At 39.8% G+C, this 14,017-nt stretch overlaps 2 annotated features.

The window, feature by feature from the left end:
• Positions 1,389-1,991: an enhancer, noted in NCBI's record as "H3K27ac-H3K4me1 hESC enhancer chr7:99407105-99407707 (GRCh37/hg19 assembly coordinates)". NCBI's record gives its function as "activates a minimal SCP1, AML or CMV promoter by ChIP-STARR-seq in naive H9 embryonic stem cells {active_cell/tissue: H9 hESC(naive)}" and the evidence as "EXISTENCE:reporter gene assay evidence [ECO:0000049][PMID:30033119]".
• Positions 1,992-2,595: an enhancer, noted in NCBI's record as "H3K27ac-H3K4me1 hESC enhancer chr7:99406501-99407104 (GRCh37/hg19 assembly coordinates)". NCBI's record gives its function as "activates a minimal SCP1, AML or CMV promoter by ChIP-STARR-seq in naive H9 embryonic stem cells {active_cell/tissue: H9 hESC(naive)}" and the evidence as "EXISTENCE:reporter gene assay evidence [ECO:0000049][PMID:30033119]".

Here is a 14,017-nt window from a genome sequence, read left to right as displayed (position 1 = left end):
TGGCCTTCTTTGTCTCTTTTGATCTTTGTTGGTTTAAAGTCTGTTTTATCAGAGACTAGGATTGCAACCCCTGCCTTTTTTTGTTTTCCATTGGCTTGGTAGATCTTCCTCCATCCTTTTATTTTGAGCCTATGTGTGTCTCTGCACATGAGATGGGTTTCCTGAATACAGCACACTGATGGGTCTTGACTCTTTATCCAACTTGCCAGTCTGTGTCTTTTAATTGCAGAATTTAGTCCATTTATATTTAAAGTTAATATTGTTATGTGTGAATTTGATCCTGTCATTATGATGTTAGCTGGTGATTTTGCTCGTTAGTTGATGCAGTTTCTTCCTAGTCTTGATGGTCTTTACATTTTGGCATGATTTTGCAGCGGCTGGTACCGGTTGTTCCTTTCCATGTTTAGCGCTTCCTTCAGGAGCTCTTTTAGGGCAGGCCTGGTGGTGACAAAATCTCTCAGCATTTGCTTGTCTATAAAGTATTTTATTTCTCCTTCACTTATGAAGCTTAGTTTGGCTGGATATGAAATTCTGGGTTGAAAATTCTTTTCTTTAAGAATGTTGAATATTGGCCCCCACTCTCTTCTGGCTTGTAGGGTTTCTGCCGAGAGATCCGCTGTTAGTCTGATGGGCTTTCCTTTGAGGGTAACCCGACCTTTCTCTCTGGCTGCCCTTAACATTTTTTCCTTCATTTCAACTTTGGTGAATCTGACAATTATGTGTCTTGGAGTTGCTCTTCTCGAGGAGTATCTTTGTGGCGTTCTCTGTATTTCCTGAATCTGAACGTTGGCCTGCCTTGCTAGATTGGGGAAGTTCTCCTGGATAATATCCTGCAGAGTGTTTTCCAACTTGGTTCCATTCTCCACATCACTTTCAGGTACACCAATCAGACGTAGATTTGGTCTTTTCACATAGTCCCATATTTCTTGGAGGCTTTGCTCATTTCTTTTTATTCTTTTTTCTCTAAACTTCCCTTCTCGCTTCATTTCATTCATTTCATCTTCCATTGCTGATACCCTTTCTTCCAGTTGATCGCATCAGCTCCTGAGGCTTCTGCATTCTTCACGTAGTTCTCGAGCCTTGGTTTTCAGCTCCATCAGCTCCTTTAAGCACTTCTCTGTATTGGTTATTCTAGTTATACATTCTTCTAAATTTTTTTCAAAGTTTTCAACTTCTTTGCCTTTGGTTTGAATGTCCTCCCGTAGCTCAGAGTAATTTGATCGTCTGAAGCCTTCTTCTCTCAGCTCGTCAAAATCATTCTCCATCCAGCTTTGTTCCGTTGCTGGTGAGGAACTGCGTTCCTTTGGAGGAGGAGAGGCGCTCTGCGTTTTAGAGTTTCCAGTTTTTCTGTTCTGTTTTTTCCCCATCTTTGTGGTTTTATCTACTTTTGGTCTTTGATGATGGTGATGTACAGATGGGTTTTCGGTGTAGATGTCCTTTCTGGTTGTTAGTTTTCCTTCTAACAGACAGGACCCTCAGCTGCAGGTCTGTTGGAATACCCTGCCGTGTGAGGTGTCAGTGTGCCCCTGCTGGGGGGTGCCTCCCAGTTAGGCTGCTCGGGGGTCAGGGGTCAGGGACCCACTTGAGGAGGCAGTCTGCCCGTTCTCAGATCTCCAGCTGCGTGCTGGGAGAACCACTGCTCTCTTCAAAGCTGTCAGACAGGGACACTTAAGTCTGCAGAGGTTACTGCTGTCTTTTTGTTTGTCTGTGCCCTGCCCCCAGAGGTGGAGCCTACAGAGGCAGGCAGGCCTCCTTGAGCTATGGTGGGCTCCACCCAGTTCGAGCTTCCCGGCTGCTTTGTTTACCTAAGCAAGCCTGGGCAATGGCGGGCGCCCCTCTCCCAGCCTCGTTGCCGCCTTGCAGTTTGATCTCAGACTGCTGTGCTAGCAATCATCGAGATTCCGTGGGTGTAGGACCCTCTGAGCCAGGTGTGGGATATAGTCTCGTGGTGCGCCGTATTTTAAGCCGGTCTGAAAAGCGCAATATTCGGGTGGGAGTGACCCGATTTTCCAGGTGCGTCCGTCACCCCTTTCTTTGACTCGGAAAGGGAACTCCCTGACCCCTTGCGCTTCCCAGGTGAGGCAATGCCTCGCCCTGCTTCGGCTCGCGCACGGTGCGCGCTCACACTGGCCTGCGCCCACTGTCTGGCACTCCCTAGTGAGATGAACCCGGTACCTCAGATGGAAATGCAGAAATCACCTGTCTTCTGCGTCGCTCACGCTGGGAGCTGTAGACCGGAGCTGTTCCTATTCGGCCATCTTGGCTCCTCCCCCTTAAATGATCCATTTTCAAGGCATGGTAAATCTAAGCACTGGCAGCCAGCCTGTGGATGTAACAAACTGCACGGCTCATGCACCTAGAAGGTCATAATAAGTGAACAGAATGTAGAGGAGGGGTCAGCCCATAAAAGGGAAGAAAGTTTTATTATCAGGAAGTCAAACTTAAGCAGGGAAGGGAACCGGGGTATAACCTTATAAGGGGGATAATGAAACTTAGGCGATGTCCAGGAAGATAACTCTGTAGTACTTGACCAATGAGGAACTGGGGGAAGGAATTCTGTGCTAGGAGATAAATTACCTGCTGTAACTGCCCTGGTTGTACCTGCCTACCAGACACCCGATCTTGCAAGGCCACCATTAAAAGTCTTGCTTCCGGCCAGGTGCAGTAGCTCACACCTCTAATTCCAGCACTTTGGGAGGCCAAGGCCAGGAGTTTGAGACCAGCCTGGCCAATATGGTGAAACACTATCTGTACTAAAAATACAAAAAATACAAAAATACATGGACATTGTCCATGGCAAGCATTCAGTAAATAGTCAAGGAGTGATTTGCAGTTGAATTGGGGTTCTAGGCCACAAATTTCCAAGCATGGTGGTGCACACCTATAGTCCCAGCTACTTAGAAAGCTGAGGCAGGAGAATCGTTTTAACCCGGGAGGCAGAGGTTGCAGTGAGCTGAGATCACACCATTACACTCCAGCCTGAGCAACAGAGCGAGATTTTGTCTCAAAAAAAAAAAAAAGTCTCACTTCCACTGTTCTTCATGTCTCCAAGTTCATTCTTTGGGTTTGGACAGGTGAATGTGTTTACCACAAACTTGTGGACCCACCTGGGGCTTCTGTGCCTGTGTGGAGTGGGACTCTTGCTGAGAGGGGAGACACATCTCACCTGATTTAGATAGCCCGCTCTGTTTAGGTATCCCGACTTCCCGCAGAGGCCATAGACAAACCTGAGACTGTTATTCAGGAGGCAGAGGAGGTGACACAGGAGGAAAGAAGGCACCACAGCAACCAGGCAACCTTGTGTATGAGCCGAGGAAGAAAAATTGGACCATAAGTACTACCTTGGTGGTTGGGCATTTTTGGAGGTCAAGTGTGTGTGACTGAGATGTATCCTAGATATGAAGTGAGTGCGGAGTCCCAATCTGCAGTTCTGTTCTCCCACGAGGGAAATGGCCATAGATGGATGAAGCGATTCTCAGGGTGTGCAGGAAACCTCCAGTGAGGCTGGGGGGTGGTTGAGTACACAGGGAAAAAGCTCAGACACAGAGACTGACTGAAGATGAGAAACAGAAATTCTAGGCCTAAGGCACAAAGGAAAGAGGGAGCCAAAAAGATTCCCTCTGACATTCCCCCGGACAGTCCTTTAGGGATAATGCTGCAGGTTTGGAGGGACAACCCTCAAGCCAGGGACAAAGAAAAGAAAAGATGGTAAGTACTGCTGTTTTATCTGTCCTAAAGACCCCATTCATAAGCCTTCAGTCTTTTGACCTAGGTTTGGCCCAGATGAGGATTGGGTGTGCCAAGCTTTATTTTTCTATGTGAATGATAAAACCCCATCCTCACAAGAGATAAGTTATGCTGTCTGCTGGATCAAGGAATTAGCCCTCATATTCCCCCTTCAAAGAAAAAGAAAAAGAACCTAGTAAAAAATCCTTGCCCAGTGAAAAGCCATGGGACCCCCTATCATGCTTGCCCCCTCCATACCTCTCGCAAAATAGGGGACAGGAAGATCAAGGGGCAGCAGGAGGATTAGCGGAAGAAAGACCTGGAGACCATGGGGGAGCCGAACAAATTGCTCCTTTAAAACCTTATCCAAATTCAAGCAAAGTATTAGAACAGTGAAGTAGACTGAGTACAAGTCCCTTAGCAGCATTACAAAAGGTCCAAAAGCCTATAGTCCTGGAACAGGAATTAAAAGAAATTAAAGAGTGTGTAAAGCAGAAACTCAGTTGTATATAAGAAAACCCAACTCCCCCTGAGAAAGAGAAAGAGCTGGAGTCCTTTAAAATTAACTGCCTGTTTTTCTGTGGCTAGTAAGCCTTATCTCTTCTCCCTTCCCAGGTTTTGTGAAGACTCTGTTTCTCTTGCCATGCAGCTGCCAGATCACTAGACAGATAAACTCAAGTCACAAAACATATTTTTCCTTAAAGAGTAAGAAATGATGTAATGCATGTCTCAATTAAATAACTGTCTTTGTTTCTCTCTTCTGTAGTATGCTTCCCCCTGTACAGATCTCCCCCGACCCATGAAATACTTAAAAGATAACCCTTTGTTCAAGGCTCAGTCCTTTGGATATTAATCTGACTGGGCTTTCTATCAGACTTGTCTTTCTTTTTAAGGCTGAATAACCTTCCATTTTGTGTATACATCACATTTCGTTTACCCATTCATATGTCAATGGACACTTAGGCTGTGTCTACCTTTTGGATATTGTGAATAATGCTGCTATGAACATGGCTTAAAAATATCTTTTTGGAGTCCAGTTTCAGTTATTTTCGGTATATATCCAGAAATAATATCACTGGATCATACAGTAATTGTATTCTTAATTTTCTGAGGAACCACCACACTTTTCCATAGTAGCTGCACCATTTTACATTCCCAAATAGAAGCTACAGATGTTCCAGTTCTTCCATATCTTCACCAACATTTGCTATTTTTTAGTTGTTTTTTTTATAGTAGCTATCCTAATGGGTGTGAGGAAATATCTCATCATGGTTTTGATTAGCATTCCCTAATGATTTGTGATATTGAGCATTTTTTCATGTGCTTTTTGCTATTTGTATATCTTCATTGGAGAAATCTCTATTGAAGTCCTTTGCCTATTTTTTAAGTCAGGTTATTTGTTTTTGTTGTTGCTGAATTACAGGAATTCTTTATATATTCTGGATATTAACCTTTTTTCAGATACTTAAATTGCAAATATTTTCTTACATTCTATAAATTGCTTTTTCACTTCGTTGATTGTGTCCTCTGTCACACAGAGTTTAATTTCAATGTAGTCCACATTATCTATATTTTCTTTTGTCGCTTGTTCTTTTGGTGTCATATTCAAGAACTCATTGCCATATCCAATGTCATAAATCTTTTCCTTTATGTTTCTTTCTAAGAGTTTTTATAGCTTTAGCTCTTTTACTTAGGTCTTTGATCCATTTCAGTGAATTTTTATGTATGGTGTAAGCTAACGGCCAAGTTTCATTCTTTTGCATGTAGATATCAATTTTCCCAATACTATTTGTTGAAAAGACTGTCTGTCCATTCCCTATTGGTCTTGGCACCCTTGTCAAAAATCATTTGACCATGTATACAAAGTTGATTTCTGAGCTCTCTGTTTTGATCCATTGATCTCTATGTCTGTCTTTATGCCAGCACCATACTGTTTTGATTACTGTAGCTTTGTAGTAAGTTTTGAAGTCAGAAAATGTAAGACCTCCAGCTTTGTAATTTTTTCAAGATTATTTTGGCTATTTGGGGTCCCTTGAGATTTTGCATGAATTTTTTTGTTTCTAACAAAAAAACCCACCGTTTGGATTTGGACAGAAATTGCATTAAATTTACAGATCTCTTTGGGTAGTATTGACATTGTAAGTATATTAAGTCTTCCAATTCATAAACATGAAATGCCTTTCCATTTATTGGCGTCTTTAATTTCTTTAAGCAATGTTTTGTAGTTTTCAATGTATGTTTCTTTCCTTCTTGGTTAAGTTTATTCCTAAGTATTTTATTCTTTTTGATGCTATTGTAAATGGATTTTTTTCTTAATTTTCTTTTCAGACGGCTCATAGTTAGTGTATAGAAACACAACTGATTTTTGTGTGTTGATTTTGCATCCTGCAACTTTGCTAAATTTGTCTTGAACTCCTGATCTCAAGCGATCCTCCCAGCTCAGCCTCCCAAAGTGCCTGGGATTATAGGCATGAGCCACCATGCCCAACTATGCCAAATTTGTTTATTAGTTCTAGCAGCTTTTCTTGTGGAATCTTCAGTGGTTGCTACATATAAAATCATGCCATTTGTGAACAGGGATAATTTTACTTCTTCCATTCTAACTTGGATGCCTTTTATTTATGTTTCTTAGTTAATCGATCTGGCTAGTGCTTCCAGTATTATGTTGAATAGAAGTGGTAAAGTAGATATCCTTGTCTTGTGCCTGATCAAGCAGAAAAAGTTTTCAGTCTTTCATAAATGGAAATGAAGACATATGTGGCCTTTATTATGTTGAGGTATTTTCCTTCTATTCTTAATTTATTGAGTGTTTTTATCATGGAATGGTGTTAAATTTTGTCAAATACTTTTTCTGCATCAATTTAGATCATCAATCACGTAGTCTTTTTTTTCCTCTTCATTCTGTTAATATGGTGTACATTGGTTGATTGACATCTGCTGAATCACCCTTGCATTCTAGGAATAAATCTCATTTGGTTATGGTTTATAATCCTTTTAATATGCTGTTGAATTCTATTTGCTAGTATTTTGATGAGGATTTTTGCACCAATATTCATCAGATATTTTGGCCTATAGTTTTCTTGTAGTGTCTTTATTTTTCTTTGGTATCAAGGTAACACTGCCTCATAGAATGAGTTTGGAAATGCTCCCTCCCTTTCAATTTTTTGGAAGAATTCGAAGACAATTTGTTTTTGACAATGATCCCTTTAATGTTTGGTAGAATTCACCAGTGAATCCATGTGTCCTGGACTTTTTATTATGGGGGGGTTTTGATCAGTGATTCAACCTCCTTAACAGTCACAGATCTGTTAAGATTATTTATTTATTCTGATTCAAACTTGGTAGGATGTGTTTTTATAGGAATTTGTCCATTTAATCAAGGTTAACCAATGCATTGTTGTACAATTGTTCATAGTACTATCTTATTATTTTTATTTTTGTAAATTTGATAGTCATATTCTTTCTTTTCTAATTTCCATTATTTGTGTATTTTTTTCTTACTGTATCTAACTAAAAGTTTGACCATTTTGTTGATCTTTTAATGAACCAACTCTTGGTTTCATTGATTTTCTCTATTGCTTTTGTATTCCTGATTTTGTTTTTCTTTGCTCTAATCTTTATTATTACCTTACTTTTGCTAGCTCTGGGTTTAGTATATTTTTCTTTTCCAGTTTCTTAATGTATAAGGTCAGATTGTAGATTTGAGATCTTTCTTCTTTCTATTTTTTTTCTGTGATAACAGATTAATTTAAATTCTAGACCTGAAGCTCTACAAGGGTATGCTCTTTAAACATTCTATAAATGTGTACAACTGTGCAATACCACTTAAAATCTCAGAAAACGAACACACTTTAGAATTGTTTAAACACAATCCACAGAATTAAAAACAAAACCAGAAGCCATTCACAGTTATACTATTGTCAATTAAAAGTTTTATACTTAATACTTGATATAACAGTCAATATCTAGTGGGGGATATTGAAAGTGATTTCAGGGGGCAGAGCCAAGATGGCCAAATAGGAACAGCTCCAGTCTACAGCTCCCAGTGTGAGTGACGCAGAAGACGAATCATTTCTGCATTTCCAACTGAGGTATCGGGTTCATCTCACTGGGGATTGTTGGACAGTGGGCACAGGACAGTGGGTGCAGCACACTGAGCATGAGCTGAAGCAGGGTGAGGCATCATCTCACCTGGGAAGTGCAAGGGGTCAGGGAATTCCCTTTCCTAGCCAAGGAAAGGGGTGACAGACGGCACCTGGAAAATTGGGTCACTCCCTCCCTAATACTGGGCTTTTCCAATGGTCTTAGCAAATGGCACACCAGGAGATTATATCCTGCGCATGGCTCAGAGGTTCCTATGCCCATGGAGCCTCACTCATTGCTAGCACAGCAGTCTGAGATCAAACTGCAAGGAGGCAGTGAGGCTGGGGGAGGGGCGCCCACCATTGCCGAGGCTTGAGTAGGTAAACGAAGCAGCTGGGAAGCTCGAACTGGGTGGAGCCCACCACAGCTCAAGGAGGCCTGCCTGCCTCAGTAGACTACACCTCTGGGGGCAGGGCATAGCCAAACAAAAGGCAGCAGAAACTTCTGCAGACTTAAATGTCCCTGTCTGACAACTTTGAAGAGAGTAGTGGCTCTCCCAGCATGCAGCTTGAGATCTGAGAACAGACAGACTGCCTCCTCAAGTGGGTCCCTGACCCCCGAGCAGCCTAACTGGGAGGGGCAGACTGACACCTCACACGGCCAGGTACTCCTCTGAGACAAAACTTCCAGAAGAATGATCAGGCAGCAACATTTGCTGTTCACCAATATCCACTGTTCTGCAGCCTCTGCTGCTGACACCTAAGCAAACAGTGTCTGGAGTGGACCTCCAGCAAATTCCAACAGACCTGCAGCTAAGGGTCCTGACTGTTAGAAGGAAAACTAACAAACAGAAAGGACATCCACACCAAAACCCCATCTGTACATCACCACCATCAAAGACCAAAGGTAGATAAAGCCACAAAGATGGGGAAAAAACAGAGCAGAAAAACTGAAAATTCTAAAAATCAGAGCACCTCTCCTCCTCCAAAGGAACACAGCTCCTAACCAGCAACGGAACAAAGCTGGACAGAGAGTGACTTTGATGAGTTGAGAGAAGAAGGCTTCAGACGATCAAACTACTCCAAGCTAAAGGAGGAAGTTTGAACCCATGGCAAAGAAGTTAAAAACCTTGAAAAAAGATTAGACGAATGGCTTACTAGAATAAACAATGCAGAGAAGTCCTTAAAGGACCTGATGGAGCTGAAAACCATGGCACGAGAACTATGTGACAAATGCAAAAGCCTCAGTAGCCGAAGCAAACAACTGGAAGAAAGGGTATCAGTGATGGAAGATGAAATGAATGAAATGAAGCGAGAAGAGAAGCTTAGAGAAAAAAGAATAAAAAGAAATGAACAAACCTCCAAGAAATATGGGACTATGTGAAAAGACCAAATCTATGTCTGACTGGTGTACCTGAAAGTGACGGGGAGAATGGAACCGAGTTGGAAAACACTCTGCAGGATATTATCCAGGAGAACTTCCCCAATCTAGCAAGGCAGGCCAACATTCAAATTCAGGAAATACAGAGAACACCACAAAGATAATCTTCGAGAAGAGCAACTCCAAGACACATAATTGTCAGATTCACCAAAGTTGAAATGAAGGAAAAAATGTTAAGGGCAGCCAGAGAGAAAAGTCGGGTTACCCACAAAGGGAAGCCCATCAGACTAACAGCTGATCTCTCGGCAGAAACTCTACAAGCCAGAAGAGAGTGGGGGCCAATATTCAACATTCTTAAAGAAAAGAATTTTCAACCCAGAATTTCATATCCAGCCAAACTAAGCTTCATAAGTGAAGGAGAAATAAAATACTTTACAGACAAGCAAATGCTGAGAGATTTTGTCACCACCAGGCCTGCCCTAAATGAGCTCCTGAAGGAAGCACTAAATATGGAAAGGAACAACCAGTACTAGCCACTGCAAAAACATGCCAAATTGTAAAGACCATCGAGGCTAGGAAGAAACTGCATCAACTAACGAGCAAAATAACCAGCTAACATCATAATGACAGGATCAAATTCACACATAACAATATTAACCTTAAATGTAAATGGGCTAAATGCTCCAATTAAAAGACACTGACTGGCAAATTGGATAAAGAGTCAAGACTCATCAATGTGCTATATTCAGGAAACCCATTTCACGTGCAGAGACACACATAGGCTCAAAATAAAGGGATGGAGGAAGATCTACCAAGCAAATGGAAAACCAAAAAAGGCAGGGGTTGCAATCCTAGTCTCTGGTAAAACAGATTTTAAACCAACAAAGCTCAAAAGAGACAAAGAAGGCCATTTCATTATGGTAAAGGGATCAATTCAACAAGAAGAGTGAACTATCTTAAATATATATGCACCCAATACAGGAGCACCCAGATTCATAAAGCAAGTCTTTAGAGACCTACAAAGAGAGTTAGACTCCCACACAATAATAATGGGAGACTTTAACACCCCACTGTCAACATTAGACAGTCAACGAGACAGAAAGTCAACAAGGATATCCGGGAATTGAACTCAGCTCTGCACCAAGTGGACGTAATAGACATCTACAGAACTCTCCACCCCAAATCAACAGAATATACATTCTTTTCAGCACCACACCACACCTATTCCAAAATTGACCACATAGTTGGAAGTAAAACACTCCTCAGCAAATGTAAAAGAACAGAAATTATAAGAAACTGTCTCTCAGATCACAATGCAATCAAACTAGAACTCAGGATTAAGAAATTCACTCAAAACCGCTCAACTACATGGAAACTGAACAACCTGCTCCTGAATGACTATTGGGTACATAATGAAATGAAGGCATGTTCTTTGAAACCAACGAGAACAAAGACACAACATACCAGAATCTCTGGGACACATTCAAAGCAGTGTGCAGAGGGAAATTTATAGTACTAAATGCCCACAAGAGAAAGCAGGAAAGATCTATAATTGACCCCCTAACATCACAATTAAAAGAACTAGAGAAGCAAGAGCAAACACATTCAAAAGCTAGCAGAAGGCAAGAAATAACTAAGATCAGAGCAGAACTGAAGGAAACAGAGACACAAAAAACCCTTCAAAAAATCAATGAATCCAGGAGCTGGTTTTTTGAAAAGATCAACAGAATTGATTGACTGCTAGCGAGACTAATAAAGAAGAAAAGAGAGAAGAATCAAATAGATACAATAAAAAATGATAAAGGGGATATCACCACCAATCCCACAGAAATACAAACTACCATCAGAGAATACTATAAACACCTCTATGCAAATAAACTAGAAAATCTGGAAGAAGTGGATAAATTCCTGGACACAGACACCCTCCCAAGACTAAACCAGGAAGAAGTTGAATCTCTGAATAGACCCATAACAGGCTCTGAAATTGAGGCAATAATTAATAGCTTACCAACCAAAAAAAGCCCAGGACCAGATGGATTCACAGCTGAATTCTACCAGAGGTACAAGGAGGAGCTGGTACCATTCCTTCTGAAACTATTCCAATCAATAGAAAAAGAGGGAATCCTCCCTAACTCATTTTATGAGGCCAGCATCATCCTGATACCAAAGCCTGGCAGAGACACAACAAAAAAAGAGAATTTTAAACCAATATCCCTGATGAACACTGATGCAAAAATCCTCAATAAAATACTGGCAAACCAAATCCAGCAGCACATCAAAAACTTATCCACCATGATCAAGTGGGCTTCATCCCTGGGATGCAAGGCTGGTTCAACACATGCCAATCAATAAACATAATCCAGCATATAAACAGAACCAAAGACAAAAACCACATGATTATCTCAATAGATGTAGAAAAGACCTTTGACAAAATTCAACAGCCCTTCATGCTAAAAATTCTCAATAAATTAGATATTGATGGGACGTATCTCAAAATAATAAGAGCTATCTATGACAAACCCACTTTTTGATGGGGTTGTTTGTTTTTTTCTTGTAAATCTGTTTTAGTTCTTTGTAGATTCTGGATATTAGCCCTTTGTCAGATGGGTAGATTGCAAAAATTTTCTTCCATTCTATAGGAAGTGGGGTGATTACAAGGGTCCAGGGCAGTGGGTGAGGGTGGGGGTGCTCCTCTATGTCTCTCTGCAGCACAGCTATACATATGGCCATCTGGGAGCACTGTTTTCTTAAGTTTTAGCTTAGGTTCAGGGGTACATGAACCTAAGGTTTGTTACATAGGTAATTATATAACAGGTTTGTTATATAGGTAAATTACATGTCCCAGGGGTTTGTTGTGCAGATAATTTTGTCACCGGGACAACAAACCTAGCACAGGATAGGCAGTTTTTTTTACCCTTACCCTCCTCCTACCTTCTGCCCCCACATAGGCCCCAGTGTCTGTTGTTTTCTTCTTTGTGTCCATGTGTACTTGATGTTTAGCTATCACTCATAAGTGAGAACATGCCGTATTTGGTTTTCTGTTCCTGTGTTAATTAACTTAGAATAATGGCCTCCAGCTCTGCTCTTGTCCCTGCAAAGGACATGATCATATTATTTTTAATGGCTGCTTAGTATTCCATGGTGTATGTGTGCCACATTTTTTTTTTTACCCAGTCTATCATTGATGGGCATTTAGGTTGATTCCACGTCTTTGTTATTGTAAGTAAAGCCACTGTGGAAAGCAGTTTGGCAATTTCTGAAATAACTTAAAATATAATTGCTATTTGACTCAGCATTATTGACCCACTATTGACCCATTATTGAGTATTTACCCAAAGGAATGTAAATATTCTACCATAAAGACACATGCACACATATGTTCATTGGGGCACTTTTTTTTTAATGGAAATGTTTATAACTACAAGTTTCCCTTTTAGCATTGTTTTGCTGCATCTCATCAGTTGGTATTTTTTTGTTTTCATAATAACGAAACAAAAAATATCTTGTCTTGAGATATTTTCTAATTTCTCTTGTGATTTATTCTTTGACCCATTGGTTGTCTAAGAGTATGTTTTTTAATTTTCATGTATTTGTGAATTTTCCAGTTTTCCTCCTGCTATTGATGTCTAGTTTTATTTAATTGTGATTGGAAAAGATACATTACATGATTTCAATCTTTTTAAATTTATTAAGACTTGTTTTGTGGCCTAATACATGATATATCCTGAACAATGTTCTATATGCACTTGAGAAAAATGTCTTCTACTACTGTTGGGTGGAATGTTCTATATATGTCTGTTGGGTCTAATTGGCCTATAGTGTTGTTCTTGTCCCTTATTTCCTTATTATCCTCTGTTTAGTTGTTCTATTTAATATCGAAAGTTGACTGTTGAAGCCTCTTACTATTATTGTAGAGCTATTTATTTTCTCATTTAATTCTATCAATGTTTGTGTCATATACTTAGGAGCTCTGATGTTTAGTACATATATGTTTATAATTATTATATCTTTTTGGTTAATTCACTCTTTTATCATTATGTAATGTTCTTTGTTTCTTGTAACAGTTTTTGAACTAAAGTCAATCTTGTATGACACTAGTGTTAGTATAGCTACTCCTTCTATCTTCTGATTATTATTTGCAGGGAATGTCTTTTTCTATTCTTTCACTTTCAATGTATGCATGTTTTTAGATCTAAAGTGAGTCACTTGTAGACAGAATATAGTTGGATCCTATTTGTTTTATTCACTCTGGCAATCTATGTCTTTATATTGAGGGGTCTAATGTATTTACATTTAAAACATACTGATGGGGAAGGACTTACTACTGTGATTTTGTTATTTGTCTTCTGCATATCTTACAGCTTTTTTGTCCCTCATTTTCTTATTGCCTTTCTTTGTATTTGGTTGATATTTTATAGTGACATGTTTTGATTACCTTCTCATTTTCTATTGTGTATTCTGTATATATTTTCTTTGTGGTTACCATGGTGATTACATAAAACTTCCTAAGGTTATAACAATGTATTTTAAATTGATTACAATTTAACTTCAGTTTCATTAAAAACCACTACTCCTTTACAGCTCTGCACTCCCTCCTTTATGTTATTTATGTCACAAATTACATCTTTTTATATCATGTACCCATTTACATAGACATAGTTATTTGTTATGCTTTGGTCTTTTATATCCTATAAAATAATTAAAAGAGGAGCTACAAGCCTAAGTTGCAATAACACAGGTTTTAGATTTGTACATATATTTACTTTTACCAAATAACTTTATATTTTCATATTTTCATATGGTTTCTAGTCACTTTCTAGCAATAAAT

Source organism: Homo sapiens, chromosome 7 (assembly GCF_000001405.40).
Source record: "Homo sapiens chromosome 7, GRCh38.p14 Primary Assembly".
In the NCBI taxonomy this organism is placed as follows: Eukaryota; Metazoa; Chordata; class Mammalia; order Primates; family Hominidae; genus Homo; species Homo sapiens.
Note: the sequence above shows the minus strand (reverse complement) of the source record. Positions and strands in the feature narration are given on the sequence as shown.